This window comes from Homo sapiens, chromosome 15 (assembly GCF_000001405.40).
Source record: "Homo sapiens chromosome 15, GRCh38.p14 Primary Assembly".
Taxonomy (NCBI): Eukaryota; Metazoa; Chordata; class Mammalia; order Primates; family Hominidae; genus Homo; species Homo sapiens.
The window spans coordinates 48857465-48871484 of NC_000015.10; the positions used below are offsets into that span (position 1 = coordinate 48857465).

At 38.3% G+C, this 14020-nt stretch overlaps 1 protein-coding gene across 4 annotated transcripts in view; it reads right to left on the reverse strand.

Annotated features, from left to right (window-relative positions):
- SHC4 (SHC adaptor protein 4) overlaps positions 1-14020 on the reverse strand; it is a 140179-nt gene that overhangs the window by 33724 nt on the left and 92435 nt on the right. For all 4 annotated transcript variants that reach the window (NM_203349.4, XM_005254375.4, XM_047432493.1 and 1 more), the window contains 2 exons: positions 10354-10405; positions 228-351 (listed from right to left, as the gene is read on the reverse strand). In NM_203349.4, coding sequence (NP_976224.3) covers positions 228-351; positions 10354-10405 — 176 coding nt within the window. The remainder of the gene's footprint in view (positions 1-227; positions 352-10353; positions 10406-14020) is intronic.

Consider the following 14020-nt stretch of genomic DNA (forward strand, 5'->3'; position numbering starts at 1 on the left):
TTTTAATCTTGTTACAAAGCAAGAGGATATAACTGGATAAATATGAATGGAAGGAAAATATTATTTTGTACTGAGACTGTGTCTATTTGCAAGAAAAAAATTACTAATTTTATTAGTTCATTTTAAAATGCCACATTAATGTTATATATACACACACAAATAAATACATACAGATAAATGCACACATATATATATATTGTCAAATTATTATAAAACTCTTGGCTGACCTTTCACAAGAAGTATTCAAAGAAGGATTTTTCAAGTACTGTTTAAACCGGAGTTCAAAAGCCTGCCCTATGGTACTTATGACGTCTTGGGCCATTCCATTGTGGCATTCCAATATGTGACAGGCTGCAAGAGGACATACAAAAAATAATATTATAATAAATTTTTAGAAAGAGAAGATTACATAAAATCAGAGTACTTCAAAACCATGAACTGATAATTGAATAAAAGGGAGCAGGATTACAAGCTCTCTGCAGCCATGAAATGATATAAAGAATACTTCACATTTCACATGAATCAAAGAGAAGAAAGATTCAAATTTTACATCAAAATATATCCAACACTTACAAACTGGGTGCTCAAGGCAGGGATTTGGGGGCCACATTTTTACAAAAGCACACTGATTTGACTAATAATGTGACTAATGTTTAACTGCTAGCTCTTGAATTCAATATAGATTATGCTTAGGGCACTAATCTACACAGAAGGCGAAGTTTGAGGTTTCATATTTGTCATCTTTGCACGGTATGTTATGGAAGATTGAAAAAATATGACTTTCCAAATCCCTTCCAAAAGTGGGGAATGAGCTGTTGGTAAAGATAGGGGCTTTGGAATACGCCCCCCGCCCCGCTGCCACCCCTTTTCCCTGTCATTGCTATTATAAAGCACTGAAAAGCACAGCAATCCCCATCTTTGAAATCCCACTAAAAAAGTGTCTTCAATAAGCATCAAAATCAGCACTGGGTGAAGGTGTCATTACCAGAAGATATGAGAGTTTATATTAGATACTTTTTCTGAGGCACAGTTACCAGGAAGGCGCTAGTTTTCACACAAAAATAAACAAGTTAGGGTGCGGGCAGGCATCTGACTATCACAAATGAGTAAGCAAATCTGCTGCTGCCACTGAAAGGAGGAGCTTGTGGTTAGGGACTGTAAATTAATCTCCCTACCATATGTAACATCATTCCTGCCTTGGTTAGAATATGGCCTTGCAATATGAAGATATAATTGATGGAAGTTTCCTAATGGTGACCTAGAAAGAGTCCTAAGGATGGCTTAAAGACAGAGGCAATAAATCTCATGACAAATTTTTACAAAGGAACATTGGGATAACCAGAAGAATTGAGAGATGAGGAAAAGTCCAATAACAGTTTAATATACACAAGAGTGTTGTAAAAATTGTCAGCTATTTTCTGAGAAAAGGAAAGCAGGGGAGAGGCAATGGGCTTAAAGGAGTGCATGGAGAATCAGATTAAATACCAGGGAAAGTATCTTGGGTCTCAGCATTTTGAAAACAAACCTGGAACACATTACTAAAAGGGATATCTGAGGAGAGGAGAGACAACCGTCTTTATGGACTGGTTTAACTATGCTAACTTGGAAGCATGATTTTATGCTTTGCATTGTCTTGGAAAAAATTCATATTTATTTGAAGTAAAAGGCAATTCATTCACATCTAACAGAATTTGTAGAGCTGATAACAGTAAGTTATAACAGAACCTATAACAGTGTTTCTCAGCCTTATGTTAATAATCACCTCAAGGAATCTCAGATATTCTCATTCCAAAACTAATTTGACTTTTACTTAAAAATTTTGTCTGAACACATTTGAAAGGGGTGTGTGTGTGTGTGTGTGTGTGTGTGTGTGTGTGTGATGGTGGTGTGGTGGTATTACTAAATCAAACAATGCTAAGGTATCAAATCTTCATTCTTATAAAGTTGCCCCTTTAAAGTACAAATTGGATCCTGAAATAGACTTAGGAGCTAATTCCGGTTTTGAAACCCAGTTAAGAATATCTATAAATTTATGTCTTTCCTACCAAAGGAAAATATTTGGTCTATCTTTACACTGCCATTTTATATTGTTCCTATATTTTTCTCCACAGTAGCTTTACTTAGTGACCAACAGATAGAAAATGCTCTAAACATATTTGTTGAATGAATAAATAGTGATTTCTCTGAATCATATGAATAGTGCTACTGTATGAAATTGTCTTTGAGTTTTTTGAAGTGAGAATTGCAGTGAGTCCCTGCAATGGGACATGTTCTTATAGCTACTAGGTGATATAAATTATTTCTTAGGTGATTTGTGGAAATAGTCTCCTCCTTGCTAGTCAGGCCTCATATCCGGAGACCTAAAAAGTACCCTTGGAGATGTATCCTCCAGTTGAGCCATGAGAAGCTGTGTTACATTATAAGAAAAGGTAATTCACTAGTCCCAGATACTTGGGAGGCTTAAAGGAGGGAGGAGAGAGGTTCACTTGAGCCCAGGGGTTGCAGGCTCTAGTGTACTGTGATCACACCTGTGAATAGCCACTGCACCCCAGCCTAGGCAACATAGCAAGACCCTGTCTCTAAAAAAGAAAGAAAGGAAGAAAGAGAGAGAGAGCTTACATAATATCAAGTATGGCTTAAATGATAAAATATCTCCTAACACTAATATGCTAGCAACCTAACCAAATAAATACTTTTTTTTTAAAGAAAAGGTAATCCTTTTGTTTTTAATCTCGTAAATTCCCAGTCCAATTAAAAATGAAGTCAAGGCCAGGTGCAGTGGCTCACGCCTGTAATCCCAGTACTTTGGGAGGCTGAGGCAGGTGGATCACTTGAGGTCAGGAGTTCATGGCCAACATGGTGAAACCCCGTATCTATTAAAAATACAAAAAAATTGGCTGGGCATGGTGGCAGGTGCCTGTAATCCCAGTTACTTGGGAGGCTGAGACAGGAAAATCACTTGAACCTGGGAGGCAGAGGTTGCAGTGGGCCAAGATGGCGTCATTGCACTCCAGTCTGGGCGACGAGTGAAACTCCATCTCAAAAATAAAAATAATAATAATAAATAAAAATAAAAATGAAGTCAAAATAGAAAGTCATATCAAAATGGAAACAACAATTTTTGCAATTTTATTTTTTCTTAGGATTGAGGAGATGTTGAGAGATGAAGATGAGGAAGATAATGAGAGAAGCAGGATACTTAAGCCTAAATAAATAAATAAGAAAAGCTAAATTGTACTTCCAGTGAGGGCGATGAGAGAATAGGATGTTTAAAAGAACTCCGTGAAAAGATTCAGATCTGAGTTCAAGTTCCAATTATGCCACTACTTATGTGACCTTGAACAAGTCACTTTATGGCAAGGTCCTTGTCTGCCAAGACAATGTCCTGAGTCATCTTTGAAGTCTTTTTGTTTTACAGAAACCCTATTCTTCCTCTGTCATGGAAGCTCAAAGTCTCTGAGGAACAGGGCGGCATGTGGGTACACAGAAATGAATGAATCAATCAGACACATCAACCAGCCTCTAACGCTTCTGGCGTACCTCTAGAATGTCTTATTTATCTCAACTTTTCTGATTCTGATGCTTTGAGGTTTGGGTCCTGTTCATAGGCTGATGCTATCAACATAATTTTCTGCTTTTCTTTGGATTAGCCTATTACTACCATATTACTTTATTTATTATAGAGACAGGTGTCTCACTACGTTGCTCAGACTGGACTTGAACTCCTGGGCTCAAGTGATCCTCCTGCTTCAGCCTCCCAAGTAGCTGGGACTACAGGCATGCCCCAACACACCCAGCTTGAGAAGACTGGACAAAAATAAAAGAACAAACAGTGGTGTCTGTCTGTCTCCAGGCAAGATGCAACAGCAGACAAACAGACTGACCTCATGCAGATGTTCTGCCCAGTCTCACCACCTTCAGGGAGCACATGTACTTTCACAGTTCCATTGTTGCCTCTCATAGACATGCTATGTTGCTCTATGGAAATGGTCTTTTTTAGGTTGGTCATGGGACAGGATAGAGGTGGGCCTTGAATCACATATAAATATGCCCATTTCCCAGGATTAAAACCAATTCCAAAAGCTTGGCCAAGAATTGCCCAATTTTCAGCTAAAGGGAAAGAAGAAAGACAAGTAACTATATATAAAAAGAGCCAAGTCACAAAAAAGAGGGTGCCTTTTCAGGGATATGGTAACTTTGTTACCAAGGCCTGAGCTTTGCTTCCCATGTCTGGAATCAGATGAAAGTCTGGATTTTTTTCATCCCACCTGTAGCAGGATGGGCTCACACTTCCAGCCCTGGGTATCAAGTACTAAACTAAGATTCAAAAGAACCTGAGATACATATTCATCTGTCTTTTTTATTTGGTTATTGAATTAGGTAGTCATAAACAAGAGGATTACAACTATTACTAAAGGATAACAGACACTTCTTTACTACTTTTATATTTGTTCTTAATAAACAGTTTTTTTGTTTTGTTTCTGTCTTTTCCTTTTATACTTAGAAAACCAGAAATTCAAAAGTTCAGCTTTTCAGGTCAACCACCAGATGGTGCTATGGGATCAAAGCAGGGAGTCCTCCATACTTTAGGAAGAAACAACCTCAAAGAGGCAAGCCAGTATTCAGTTCATAGCTAATTAATACCACCAGGACAGTCGTAGGCATACTTTATAACTATAAACATAAATAAAAATAAGTGGATTAATTTAAGTTGGTTTTACTGGTTTTGGGGTTTTTTTTTTTTTAACTTTCTTCAGAGACCCAGAAGCATGGCCTTCCTATATCCAGGTAGTCCAAGCAGTCCAGTCCTATTCACAGACTAGATTCAGGGAAAATATTAAAACATTCCTGGACTGCCACACATTTGGAGTAAGACAATGTGGATTTCCTCATTTACAGCAATTACAGAAGCAGGGTGTATTAATCACTAACTAAACTCAAAACATTCTTACTGGAACTTAACCTTTTCTATAAAAAAGGCCTTTGATAAAATGAAGAGTTCACTAAAGGGTCCTAGCCAAGATGGAAAAAGTGGGAACTGCCCTGATTTAAATGCACTAATGCTAAAAGCGAATCAAGCAAAAGGAAGAGTGGGAAGCTTCGGGATTGTCAGCATGAAGCCCAGTCTCCTCTGCTCATCTCCACTTCCTGTCAACCATACTGTCCTCCTCATCCCTGCAATCTGGCTCCTGCCTTTCTAGGTGTACAAAAATTGAGCTTTCCAGAGTGACCAGTGGCCTGTTAATTGCTGGGCGAAATAGCATCTTCCCACCCTCATGCCCCTTAACTCCTTTTCAGTGTGTGACCATCTGAGATGTCTCCTTCAGAAGAACCTTGCTCTTCCCCTCTGTTAGGTAATACTCATTTCTTGACTTCCTCCTGTCCCCTGACTACTCCTTAGGCAAGTCACTGTCTCCTGTGGCTTCCCCCACTCCCTGACATCCTTAGCCCTCTTCTTTCTAGGTTCTGCTAAGAAGTTGCAGTTTTTTTCTGCACCTGCAGGCCTGGCCTGCCTCCCTCCCCTCCCTGCCAGCCCCACCCCCAGCCCCAGACCTACTCTCTGGGCTTCTCTTGTCTGCCATTTTCTCCTGGATGAAACAAACTTGCTAGTTAATTTTATAACATCAGCTTTCTGATTTCATTATTTTAAAACATTTATTCAAAGGTTTTGGATATTTTTTCTTTTTATAAATGTAATAAATATTCACTGTAAGAGTTTTAGAAAACAAAAAGGCACCAAGAAGAAATAAAAATTACAGAAAATTTCACTATCCAGTGGTTATCTCAATAACCACTAGGAACATTTTGCCATATGTCTTTCCTATCTTCTTATAATGCGTATCTACCCAGAAAAGTCACCTGGGATTATACTATACACAATCTTCATAATGTTTTTTGCATTAACAGCATTGTGAATATTTTTCCCATATAATTACTTATTTTTCTACTATTAGCTTTAATTGCTGCATCATAGTACATTCTATGAGTTTATTTAATTTGCTACTTATGAATACTAAATTTTGTCTTATGATATAAATAATATACAAAAATGATCTATATTGCTTAATCTTTGTACGTATCCTAATTATTTCCTCAGAAATAAAACTACTGGTTCAAAGGCATTTACATTTTTAAGATGTTTGATGCAAATGATCAAATTGCTCTTTAAAATGTTTGAATCTAAACTCTTTATCAGCAGTGTTCAAGAATAACTACTACTCGAAACCACATTTTATCTTTTTTCAATGTTTGAAATTTGGAGATGAAATATGATGTCTAATTATAATTTGTGTGTCTGATTGCTAGTGAGGCTAAACTTTTTTATTTTTCAAATGTTTCTTGGTGCCTTGCCATGTTCTTTTGTGTGCTCAGGACGTAGAATCTGTCCATCCACTTAATGGCTGGGTAATCTTACGAAAACCGCCTTATTTTTCTCACCTCCAGTGTTTTCTTCTATTTAAAAAAAGGAATGATATGTTTACATACTCCCTAGGGCTGCTGTGAGGATGAAATGAGATAATGCAGATGGAGTACTGAAAATGCCTGGCACATAGTAAGCATGCAATAAATGGTAGCCATTTTTCTTTGCCTATTTTTTTTATTAGATTGTTTGTTTATTCTATTTATGAGAATTTCTGTTTCTTTAGTGGCAACATCACTCCACATCACACAGAATAGTAATAATAGCTACCATTTACTGCCTAGGTGCTATAAGCCAGGTATTGAAATGTTTGCATTGCATATGATATCTCATTAAATCCTCAGGAACATCTGATTCCTATTTCTCCATCAATCTAAATATCTAAATAGTCATCAAGTACTATTAGTTCACAAATTTGACCCAAACTCTTCCTTCCTCCTCCAGTGCCATTTAGAACATTACACTGCTGCCCACGACTAATGAGATGTCCTCTAAATTGAATTCTATCATTCCAGGTGGCTTTTCTGCTTTCCAATACCAATACCACTTTCTTTTTTTTTTTTTTTTTTTTTTTTTTTTTGAGACAGAGTCTTGCTCTGTCGCCCAGGCTGGAGTGCAGTGGCGTGATCTTGGCTCACTGCAAGCTCCGCCTCCCGGGTTCACACCATTCTCCTGCCTCAGCCTCCCGAGTAGCTGGGACTACAGGTGCCCACCACCACACCCAGCTAATTTTTTGTATTTTTAGTAGAGACGGGGTTTCACCGTGTTAGCCAGGATGGTCTCCATCTCCTGACCTCATGATCTGCCCGCCTCGGCCTCCCACAGTGCTGGGATTACAGGCGTGAGCCACCGCGCCCGGCCTCCAATACCACTTTTAAAGACACAACTGCCAGAAAAATGATCATTTAGTAATTTCAGAATAGCAAAACATAATAATATTTTTAAAGCTCAAAATATTTGATGGCTCCAGTGACCTCCTGGCCAGTATTCAAAGTCCCCCCACAATCTGTCTCTGGTCTATCTTTTCAGCTGTGGGACCCCTACTTCCACTTTTTCCTTTCTCTGCAACCCCGCCTTTACACGCACATTCGCACAACCTGCAAACACTTGGCTGTAAGCTCTCATTACACTGCTCTTTCACCTGTGTCTTTTTTTACTTACTCCACAAATCCCAAGCATCTACTGCGTTTTAGGCACTGTTCTCTAGGCATCCCTCTTTCTCTATGCACATCTTATGGATTATGTTTCTCCCTCTTGCTAAATGATAATACCATGGTGGGATTTTCCTTCCATAATCATTAATAATTATTTGTGTATTCAAAAGCTGTGTCATCACCTCTTTGCGGGCACTGTCAGTCCAAGGGCTCAGGTCGGGGGAAAAGATTTAGCACTAGAGGACTGTGTGCAAGGAGGAGGTATGTTGAGAACACAGTGTCTTCTCACAGGATTTTTATAGCCAAGCTATATGAGAAAGAACGAGGAGATCAGAAAAGGAGGAAGAGGTGATAGAGACATATTAACTTTTAAAGCCAAGAAAACTACCCTATGTTACTAAGTTATCTTCTTGGACACACCCATTTTCCTATAGGAAAGAAAGATGTAATAAGGGAGGAAAGAAAACTATGCTTTCCATGTGTTATGCAGATGTTATTATTCCCACTTAAAAGATAAGGAAATCAAGGTTTGAGGTTGTGAAACAATCTGCCTGACATCGTACAGTGAGATGATGAAATAATTATGATTCCAACCCAGTCTTTCTGACTCCAGCATCAATCTTATTTCCTATACACAGGCTGATGGCTAAAGAAAGAAAAAACTGAAACCTTGATTTGGACTGTTTCTGTCCCTCACCTCCCATCCAGGACCTCGCTCAACAGTTCACATGAATGCCTTCTCAAAATCCCCAAGCCAGGATCCCCAGGGGTCCTCTTCAAGCAGCTCAGCTCTGACAAATGACTCAGGCACCAGAACAGGGGCTTTCAAAGTGAATGTGCTGCATCATAATTTTCTCTGCCTCTCCTGTTTCACTTAAGCAAAGGGAGAGCTTTGCAGGCATGTGGATCCTTCTTGGCCATTACCCTTAGCAACAACATTAATCTTTGAACTCTTCACCATCATTTACTTAAGAGCAATGACATGCCCAGAGATATTCTGTGACTGACGGCAAAGTTACTAAACATCTAGATTTCCTGATGTATTTTTTTCTTCCTTTCACCCTGTCATTTCCATGTTAAGACAAAAAGTGTTGTTGTTCAGAGGCCTTCCCAGAAATAGCAAGCAGTTATTATTTAGGGACGTTCAGGCAGGGATGAGAAGAAGTTGCCCTTTTCTGGTATCCTTTGTTGTGCCCTGTTCCTACATTCCCACTGCCCCATTCACTGGTTCCTGTCTCTCCTGCACACTCTTTGACCATGATTCATTCTTCTTATTTAGTTTAGAGTGGGTCAGTTTTAATGGAGTATTTCATACTGTTTATCCTCTGTTCCTTCCTTTTCATCTTTTTGCTGCCACATTCTTTTGGCAAACATTTGCTGAGGATCTACTACGTGCCAGGCTCTGTGCCAGCAGCTGGGCTTCATCATTTCATTTCTGACAATCACAATAGCTTCCAAATGGATATCCCTGCCTTAAGTTTCTCCCTGAATCCATCTACTACATCCTGCTGCCAAACCAATCTGTCTAAACTCTACTTTGTAAACAGTACTCTCCACCCATCTGCCCATGGGATTAAGTCCCTACTCATTAGCTCTCTCGTGTCTGTCCTATAGATGCCTTTTACGCTTTTACATTGTGAGGTCCAGGGTGTTCTATTTATTTACTCCCCAGCATCCCATGTACATTTCCACCTCGGTGTCTTATAGCTCTCTAAATTTTCAAGTCCTATTCCATGTCCACTTAATAAATGTTTGGGGGCAAACTCCATACCTGGGACAGCAGAGGATGTGGCCCAACCAATACGTTCTAGTTAAGGAGGAACCTAACACTTCTCCCTAAGAGGAGTCTGAATGTCCCAGCGTTAGGGATGAGAAGCAATACTAACCATGTGACCTTGCTAAATCCTGAAACAAGAATTCCCATCAAATCACTCTTCCATTCACTCAGTCATTCAATAAAATAGTTTTTGAGTATCGCCTATATGCTAGGCATCATGGTGAGTGCTAGGGAACAACAGCGAGTAAGAGAAACAGGTTCCTGCCCTCATGAAGATTTTAGCCTAGTAGAAAGGACACATTAAACATACAAACAAGTGCAATATGTGAGTAAATAAAATATTAGGTTGGTGCAAAGGTAATAGCAGTTTTTGCCATTAAAAGCAATGGCAAACTGTGATTACTTTTGCACTAACCTATAATAGAAATGTGGAGTGTTAATGAAAAGAGAAATAAGTGTTGTGATGCAACAAGGTAGGAAATGCTACTGGAGACAGGAGGTGCTATCAAAGAAGGTCTCTGAAGAAGAGGCATTTAAGCTGAAATCCATATGATGAAGTCAAGCATTCAAAGAGATAATACAGGCTCTTGAACAGCAAGTACACAGACACACAGACACACACACAGACACACACACACACCAAAGCCAATGCAGGCCAATAACCTCACTCCTCACTGGCTTTGATCTTACATGTAATTCATTTGTCCAGTGGGGATGTGACAGCCAGCCCCCTCTATCATAACCATAATAGCTTCTCTTTTGATAGCTAAGCCTTTGGTTTGTGGATCTTTAAAATGATTTAAATTTCATCTACATAGTTTTTCTACTTTGCTCTGCTAACAGGGCAATTTATTTCCAACTCAAATTTGCATAATATTTCTAGAATCCAGTATAGCACCCTAGTGATAGTCATCACTCTGTACATTGAAAATAACTGTTGGTTACTTTTTAGAGTTGGTATATACCAGCTCTTTAAAAAATCTGTAAGTTGCTTTCCATACCTCGTTGATTAACTGGATCTTTAGCTACGTAGGCAACATAGTCTGTAGTATCCTATAAAAAAGGGAAAATGACTGTATTTAAAATGGATGAACTGTACTGTTGAAAGAAACATATATTTTGGACATGATACTGAGGCAAGGACTCAAATACAAATGTTTTTTATTTAAAGAGACAAGAAAAGCATTGTAAAAGGGAACATAAACAAATATACACCATATAGTTTAACAATTATGGAGTCCATGTTCTCTGTCCCTTGGGGAAAGAATTGGAAAATTAAAAATTTAGAGGCAGACTGTCATTAAGAATAAAAGAGAAAGCAGATAGGGAACATGTTAGGACATATTCTTTAAAACTGGCTAGAGACTATGATGCTGTCCTAGGTTGAAAGTTGAAATATCAGGGATTATGCAATCACAAAAGTGACATAAACTAAGATAGGGTATCATGATCTCCTGTTGTCCAAACATATACCACATACATCAGAAAGTAAGTTGACTAAAGAGACATGTTGGATTTTGTGGTTGTTAGCTTGCTTGTATGCAGTGTAAGTTAACTTAAGGGATAATAAAGTGAAAATACAAGGAATTTATTTGATCAATATACAGAAAAGAAAAATCATTTTAAAAAAAAGAGAACCCCTGAAAAACTTAAGAAGTTCAAAAAGAGATGCACTGCTGACTTCGTAAAAACAAACCAACAAAACGCTACTTGGTAATTCCAGCTTTTATTGAAAACAGTAAGCTGATGAATGATAAGGTTTTAATAATTAAAGATGCTTTTTGTTATCTAAGTTCTTGGGAAAAAATACACACAATTCCATTTGCAGATTAGAAGTATGACTCTCTAGAGGGAAGATGCAATCAACTGGCAGGAAATAAAAGCCCATGTTTGTAATACCCTCAAGGATAATCACTTAATAACCCACAATGAATCACACAGGAAGTGGATCTCAGGGTCAGCATAACTCGTCTTGGGCAATTAAAGAAAATAATAACACATACCTGAGTAAATTTCTCTTACGCAAAAAGAAAAAAGGTTTTAAATATCCTCTAAATAAATAAGGCCATATCCTTGGGCTTTGTTTTATATGAATTTAGAAGGAAAGCCACAATTGCTGGGGACTTTGCCACTCTTATTCAAGTGAAGAGGTGGTCTGATGCCAGCCATGCTGTCTGGTAGGTCCAATTATGGGAAAGAGGCTGTGAGACCTCTACAGACCTCAGTTTTCTCATTTTCAAAACAGCCTCCAACATTGGTATAGTTCTAAAATTCTATAGCTGTAAACATTTGGGAGAATTTACAGAATGCTAAAAGTAAAGCACAAATAGCAGGGGAAAATATGTTTAAATGTATTTAATTTTTGACATACTCACAATGCACTTTTTAAGTGGAGAAAGTATATATAGTTATAGAGGCATTACCAACAACTGTTTTCAGGGCTGACGGATGGAAAACAACTGTTTTTGCAAAGAGAGTAAAAATGAGGGTGAGCAAAGGCCAAGAGATGAGAAGGCTATTCATTATTTTTGAAATTTTGGAGGAAATCTTGTAGAAAGATTACTATGTTGGACCTCAGGGACTTTTAAGTCAGCTTCCTACCCTTGTACACAGTTCACTGTGAAGCTGTAAACGATCTCAGTTAATATCCTAAAACAAATATGGGTATGTGTTAGCAATTGTGGTAGTAGTTACTTCTTGTGACTGTGTGCCAGGACCTGCGCTAACACTAACCATGTATCATTTCACTTAATTCCCACAACACTGTCAGGCAATAGGGATTATCCTCCATTTACATATGAGGACTCTGGAGTTTAGGGAGTTTAAATAAGTCACGTCTACTTGACTCCAAAGCCTGGCAGTACATAATACTGCCTCCCTGACCTGATGGTAAAACTTCATAGAGATGATTTCTAATGCCAATGCTTAGGGTGGCTCCAGACTTCTATTTTACTAGACAGGTGCTTTAACCAACCAAGCCATGGCACCGCCGCCAGATTTCTACTTTAAATTAGAATCAACAGGCTTTCTCACCAGCTTTAGAGAGCACAGAGGTGCTCTCAATGCAGCAGGTACAAACTTTCCCATAGTGGCCACAAATTATTTAATGTTTGTTTTTTATAGGAACAGTGGTTTGGTCAATTTAAAGAACTAAAGGCACATGAAGAGAGTATGAAAAAAATTAAGATTCTGGAGAACAATAACAGAAATCATTCAGGGCATGCCTTGAGTAAATGTTTGCGCACCAATTCTAACATGATGACAACCCTTAAGAAATTTAGGGCAAATGCCAATAATTATTTTTCACACTACATGTATAAACACTACTTTAAATCTCTTAAGAAAAGTATTTGAGTTCCTTCATGGATGACTGAGCTAGGGAGAAGAGAAAGTGCTGGTATTTTTCAGCCTGGATTCAGTTGACCCTCCCTGCCAGCCACCATCCTTGGTGTTGCTATTGAGGCCAGATTACAAGGCTGGATGGAAAAGAGTCCAGATAGGCTCTTGGGCTCAAATAGCAGCTGCTAAGCACCAGACACCTTGTATGTCCCTTGTTTGCTAATGGGAATTCACAATTAGGCATCTGTGGAATTTCTTGGGGAAAAGGTGGAACTCTTAACATTTGGTTTACTTTTAAAAATGGCAGCATCATGGAACTAATATATAATAGTTATTTGAAAATAACTATACCCCAGGCTAAAAGATGAGGAAGTAGTAAAGCTTAAAGGGGAAACTGGATATCCATTAATTAGAAAACAAGGGTTTGAAATCCTGTAAAGGCTGCTTTTCTTCCATATGCTTCGTGAGCCAAGATCGTGCCACTGCACTCCAGCCTGAGTGACAAGAGTGAGACGCCGTCTCAAAAAAAAAAAAAGCATGTCTTGGTTTGACATGCTTAAATACTTTAGGTCATTGGTAGCCAATGTGAAGACAAGTAATTATTGAAGTGTTTTTAAGAATTGGCTAATTTAGCTATATATTTTATACACAGGTAAGTTACACCAACACCCAAGAGGAAGAACCTGCTTAAATGCTTTAGATGCCAGTAAATGAAGCAATGATTACAGAGTAACTTCAGAACTTTACTTCCTTTTAGGATATACAATTATTTCTCCCCCATTGAATATTTAGCAAAAAGTTTAAAACAAATGAAAACTACCATGGTATCAGCTGCCAGATTTAGTTTTTAGCATCCTCTATATCTTTCTTGGGTTTCTAGGTTATTGTCCTATCATTTATGACTCTACATTTTATTCCTCAATTACAGGTGAAAACTAAATGTGGTGGATAGAAAACAATCAATGGTTAAACTGAATTGTATTGGTTCGTTCCTGAAGGATATAATCTTTTCTTTAAAAAATGCTTTGCAGAAAAGAAGGTAATACATTCTGAGTAAGAACAAGGTCTGTGTATGTTCCCCCTGCTTTCTTGACATGGCTGATGTTTAACCATTATGAAAGTCATACTCCATCCTCTTCTAACCTTTCATCAAAACATATGGAAGATTAGAAGAGGAAAGAGTACAATAAAAAGACCAATAATGTCACAGAGTGGCAAAAGTATTCTTCTACTCCCTCAGTTTAAACAGATTTGCTTCTTGCTCAGTTGCAGGCTCCCTAGCTTCAAAGCCCCTCTCCTTTTGCTGTGGTCCAGAAATGGTGCAGTAGG